The sequence below is a fragment of the Homo sapiens genome, chromosome X (assembly GCF_000001405.40).
Source record: "Homo sapiens chromosome X, GRCh38.p14 Primary Assembly".
NCBI classification, from domain to species: domain Eukaryota; kingdom Metazoa; phylum Chordata; class Mammalia; order Primates; family Hominidae; genus Homo; species Homo sapiens.
In genome coordinates, this window is record NC_000023.11 from 12858925 (window position 1) to 12865177 (window position 6253).

Consider the following 6253-nt stretch of genomic DNA (forward strand, 5'->3'; position numbering starts at 1 on the left):
AGTGTGCCTATTTCTCCACATCCTCTCCAGCACCTGTTGTTTCCTGACTTTTTAATGATTGCCATTCTAACTGGTGTGAGATGGTATCTCATTGTGGTTTTGATTTGCATTTCTCTGATGGCCAGTGATGATGAGCATTTTTTTCATGTGTCTGTTGGCTGCATAAATGTCTTCTTTTGAGAAGTGTCTGTTCATATCCTTTGCCCACTTTCTGATGGGGTTGTTTGTTTTTTTCTTGTAAGTTTCTTTGAGTTCTTTGTAGATTCTGGATATTAGCCATTTGTCAGATGAGTAGATTGCAAAAATGTTCTCCCATTCTTTAGGTTGCCTGTTCACTCTGATGGTAGTTTCTTTTGCTGTGCAGAAGCTCTTTAGTTTAATTAGATCCCATTTGTCAATTTTGGCTTTTGTTGCCATTGCTTTTGGTGTTTTAGACATGAAGTCCTTGCCCATGCCTATGTCCTGAATGGTATTGCCTAGGTTTTCTTCTAGGGTTTTTATGGTTTTAGGTCTTACGTTTAAGTCTTTAATCCATCTTGAATTAATTTTTGTATAAGGTGTAAGGAAGGGATCCAGTTTCAGCTTTCTACATATGTCTAGCCAGCTTTCCCAGCACCATTTATTAAATAGGGAATGCTTTCCCCATTTCTTGTTTTTGTCAGGTTTGTCAAAGATCAGATGGTTGTAGATGTGTGGTATTATTTCTGAGGGCTCTGTTCTGTTCCATTGGTTTATATCTCTGTGTTGATACCAGTACCATGCTGTTTTGGTTAGTGTAGCCTTGTAGTATAGTTTGAAGTCAGGTAGCGTGATGCCTCCAGCTTTGTTCTTTTGGCTTAGGATTGACTTGGTGATGCGGGCTCTTTTTTGGTTCCATATGAACTTTAAAGTAGCTTTTTTCCAATTCTGTGAAGAAAGTCATTGGTAGCTTGATGGGGATGGCACTGAATCTATAAATTACCTTGGGCACTATGGCCATTTTCACGATATTGATTCTTCCTGTCCATGAGCATGGAATGTTCTTCCATTTGTTTGTGTCCTCTTTTATTTCGTTGAGCAGTGGTTTGTAGTTCTCCTTGAAGAGGTCCTTCACATCCCTTGTAAGTTGGATTCCTAGGTATTTTATTCTCTTTGAAGCAATTGTCAATGGGAGTTCACTCATGATTTGGCTCTTTGTCTGTTATTGGTGTGTAACAATGCTTGGGATTTTTGCACATTGATTTTGTATCCTGAGACTTTGCTGAAGTTGCTTATCAGCTTAAGGAGATTTTCGGCTGAGACAATGGGGTTTTCTAGATATAAAATCATGTCATCTGCAAACAGGGACAATTTGACTTCCTCTTTTCCTAATTGAATACCCTTTATTTCTTTCTGCTGCCTGATTGCCCTGGCCAGAACTTCCAACACTATGTTGAATAGGAGTGGTGAGAGAGGGCATCCCTGTCTTGTGCCGGTTTTCAAAGGGAATGCTTCCAGTTTTTGCCCATTCAGTATGATACTGGCTGTGGGTTTGTCATAGTAGCTCTTATTATTTTGAGATACGTCCCATCAATACCTAATTTATTGAGAGTTTTTAGCATGAAGGGCTGTTGAATTTTGTCAAAGGCCTTTTCTGCATCTATTGAGATAATCATGTGGTTTTTGTCTTTGGTTCTGTTTATATGTTGGATTACGTTTACTGATTTGCGTACGTTGAACCAGTCTTGCATCCCAGGGATGGAGCCCACTTGATCATGGTGGATAAGCTTTTTGATGTGCTGCTGGATTCGGTTTGCCAGTATTTTATTGAGGATTTTTGCATCGACGTTCATCAGGGATATTGGTCTACAATTCTCTTTTTTTCTTGTGTCTCTGCCAGGCTTTGGTATCAGGATGATGCTGGCCTCATAAAATGAGTTAGGGAGGATTCCCTCTTTTTCTATTGATTGGAATAGTTTCAGAAGGAATGGTGCCAGCTCCTCCTTGTACCTCTGGTAGAATTCGGCTGTGAATCCGTCTCGTCCTGGGCTTTTTTTGGTTGGTAAGCTATTATTGCCTCAATTTCAGAGCCTGTTATTGGTCTATTCAGAGATTCAACTTCTTCCTGGTTTAGTCTTGGGAGGGTGTATGTGTCGAGGAATTTATCCATTTCTTCTAGATTTTCTAGTTTATTTGCGTAGAGGTGTTGATAGTATTCTCTGATGGTAGTTTGTATTTCTGTGGGATCGGTGGTGATATCCCCTTTATCATTTCTTATTGCGTCTATTTGATTCTTCTCTCTTTTCTTCTTTATTAGTCTTGCTAGTGGTCTATCAATTTTGTTGATCTTTCCAAAAAACCAGCTCCTAGATTCACTGATTTTTTGAAGGGTTTTTTGCGTCTCTATCTCCTTCAGTTCTGCTCTGATCTTAGTTATTTCTTGCCTTCTGCTAGCTTTTGAATGTGTTTGCTCTTGCTTCTCTAGTTCATTTAATTGTGATGTTAGGGTGTCAATTTTAGATCTTTCCTGCTTTCGCTTGTGGGCATTTAGTGCTATAAATTTCCCTCTACACACTGCTTTAAATGTGTCCCGGAGATTCTGGTACGTTGTGTCTTTGTTCTCGTTGGTTTCAAAGAACATCTTTATTTCTGCCTTCATTTCGTTATGTACCCAGTAGTCATTCAGGAGCAGGTTGTTCAGTTTCCATGTAGTTGAGCAGTTTTGAGTGAGTTTCTTAATCCTGAGTTCTAGTTTGATTGCACTGTGGTCTGAGAGACAGTTTGTTATAATTTCTGTTCTTTTACATTTGCCGAGGAGTGCTTTACTTCCAACTATGTGGTCAATTTTGGAATAGGTGCTGTGTGGTGCTGAGAAGAATGTATATTCTGTTGATTTGGGGTGGAGAGTTCTGTAGATGTCTATCAGGTCCGCTTGGTGCAGAGCTGAGTTCAATTCCTGGATATCCTTGTTAACTTTCTGTCCTGTTGATCTGTCTAATGTTGACAGTGGGGTGTTAAAGTCTCCCATTATTATTGTGTGGGAGTCTAAGTCTGTTTGTAGGTCTCTAAGGACTTGCTTTATGAATCTGTGTGCTCCTGTATTGGGTGCATATATATTTAGGATAGTTAGCTCTTCTTGTTGAATTGATCCCTTTATCATTATGTAATGGCCTTCTTTGTCTCTTTTGATCTTTGTTGGTTTAAAGTCTGTTTTATCCGAGACTAGGATTGCAACCCCTGCCTTTTTTTGCTTTCCATTTTCTTGGTAGATCTTCCTCCACTCTTTTATTTTGAGCCTATGCATGTCTCTGCATGTGAGATGGGTTTCCTGAATACAACACACTGATGGGTCTTGACTCTTTATCCAATTTGCCAGTCTGTGTCTTTTAATTGGGGCATTTAGCCCATTTACATTTAAGGTTAATATTGTTATGTGTGAATTTGATCCTGTCATTAGGATGTTAGCTGGTTATTTTGCTCGTTAGTTGATGCAGTTTCTTCCTGGCGTCAATGGTCTTTACAATTTGGTATGTTTTTGCAGTGGCTTGTACCGGCTGTTCCTTTCCATGTTTAGTGCTTCCTTCAGGAGCTCTTGTAGGGCAGGCCTGGTGGTGACAAAATCTCTCAGCATTTGCTTGTCTGTAAAGGATTTTATTTCTTCTTCACTTATGAATGTTAGTTTGGCTGGATATGAAATTCTGGGTTGAAAATTCTTTTCTTTAAGAATGTTGAATATTGGCCCCCACTCTCTTCTGGCTTATAGAGTTTCTGCCGAGTGATCAGCTGTCAGTCTGATGGGCTTCCCTTGTGGGTAACCCAACCTTTCTCTCTGGCTGCCCTTAACATTTTTTCCTTCATTTCAACTTTGGTGAATCTGACAATTATGTGTCTTGGAGTTGCTCTTCTCGAGGAGTATCTTTGTGGCGTTCTCTGTATTTCCTGAATATGAATGTTGGCCTGCCTTGCTAGGTTGGGGAAGTTGTCCTGGATAATATCCAGAAGAGTGTTTTCCAACTTGGTTCCATTCTCCCCGTCACTTTCAGGTACACCAATCAGATGCAGATTTGGTCTTTTCACATAGTCCCATATTTCTTGGAGGCTTTGTTTCTTTCTTTTTATTCTTTTTTCTCTAAACTTCTCTTCTCGCTTCATTTCATTCATTTGATCGTCAATCACTGATACTCTTTCTTCCAGTTGATCGAATCAGCTACTGAAGCTTGTGCATTCATCACATAGTTCTCGTGCCATGGTTTTCAGCTCCATCGGGTCCTTTAAGGACTTCTCTGCATTGGTTATTCTAGTTAGCCATTCGTCTAATTTTTTTTCAAGGTTTTTAACTTCTTTGTGATGAGTTTGAACTTCCTCCTTTAGCTCGGAGAAGTTTGATCGTCTGAAGCCTTCTTCTCTCAACTCGTCAAAGTCATTCTCCATCCAGCTTTGTTCCGTTGCTGGTGAGGGGCTGCATTCCTTTGGAGGAGGAGAAGCACTCTGATTTTTAGAATTTTCAGTTTTTCTGTTCTGTTTTTTCCCCATCTTTGTGGTTTTATCTACCTTTGGTCTTTGATGATGGTGACATATAGATGGGGTTTTGGTGTGGATGTCCTTTCTGTTTGTTAGTTTTCCTTTTAACACTCCGGACCCTCAGCTGCAGGTCTGTTGCAGTTTGCTGGAGGTACACTCCAGATCCTGTTTGCCTGGGTATCAGCAGCGGAGGCTGCAGAACAGCGAATATTGCTGAACAGCAAATGTTGCTGTCTGATTGTTCCTCTGGAGGTTTCTTCTCAGAGGGGTACCCGGCCATGTGAGGTGGCAGTCTGCCCCTACTGGGGGATACCTCCCAGATAGGCTACTCGGGGGTCAGGGACCCACTTGAGGAGGCAATCTGTCCATTCTCAGATCTCCAGCTGTGTGCTGGGAGAACCACTACTCTCTTCAAAGCTGTCAGACAGGGACATTTAAGTCTGCAGAGGTTTCTGCTGCCTTTTGTTCAGCTATGCCCTGCCCCCAGAGGTGGAGTCTACAGAGGCAGGCAGCCCTCCTTGAGCTGTGGTGGGCTGCACCCAGTTCAAGCTTCCTGGCCACTTTGTTTACCTACTCAAGCCTCAGCAATGACAGGCGCCCATTCCCCAGCCTCGCTGCTGCCTTGCAGTTCAATCTCAGATTGCTGTTCTAGCAATAAGTGAGGCTCCATGGGCGTGGGACCCTCCGAGCCAGGCGCGGGATATAATCTCCTGGTGTGCCATTTGCTAAGACCATTGGAAAAGCACAGTATTAGGGTGGGAGTGACCCGATTTTCCAGGTGCTGTGTGTCACAGCTTTGCTTGGCTATGAAAGGGAATTCCCTGACCCCTTGTGCTTCCCAGGTGAGGCAATGCCTCGCCCTGCTTTGGCTCATGCTCGGTGTGCTGCACCCACTGTCCTGCGCCCACTGTCTGACAAGCCCCAGTGAGATGAACCCAGTACCTCAGTTGGAAATGCAGAAATCACCCATCTTCTGCATTGCTCACGCTGGGAGCTGTAGACTGGAGCTGTTCCTATTCAGCCATCTTGGAACCACCCTACAGTTTCTTTCAATACTTTTCATGTTCAATGTCTTACACTTAAATTTTTCAACTACATGAAATTTATTTTGATATAAGAAATGAGGTTGGGCCAGGCGCAGTGGCTCACACCTGTTATCCCAAAACTTTGGGAGGCTGAAGTGGGCGAATCATGAGATCAGGAGTTCAAAACCAGCCTGGCCAATATAGTGAAACCCCACCTCTACAGAAAATACAAAAAATTAGCCGAGCGTGGTGGCGGGTGCCTGTAATCCCAGCTACTCGGGAGGCTGAGGCAGGAGAATCGCTTGAACCTGGGAGGTGGAGGTTGCAGTGAGCAGAGATTGCGCCACTGCACTCCAGCCTGGGTGACAGAGTGAGACTACATCTCAAAAAATAAATAAAAAGACAAATGAGGTTGGACAATAGCTTGATTTTTTAAAAACTCCAAGCCAGTTGCCCAATAATCCATTTTGCCATTGATGTGACTTGAAACTAAACACCCATATGTGCTTTTACTTAATTCTGCTCACTTCTCAGTTTCACTGATGCACTGGTACTATGCCATTGGAGGCAATACAGCATTCTAATGCATTTACAGATATGGAAGAGAAATCCTCCCCTTTTATTTTCATTCAGAAATTGCCTGGCTATTCTCACATGTGGTCTTACCCCAGTCAGACCCAACACCTCACTTTTATAACAAATATTTGGTAATGCACCCTTTGTTATATGAAAGGAGATATTTGTGGATA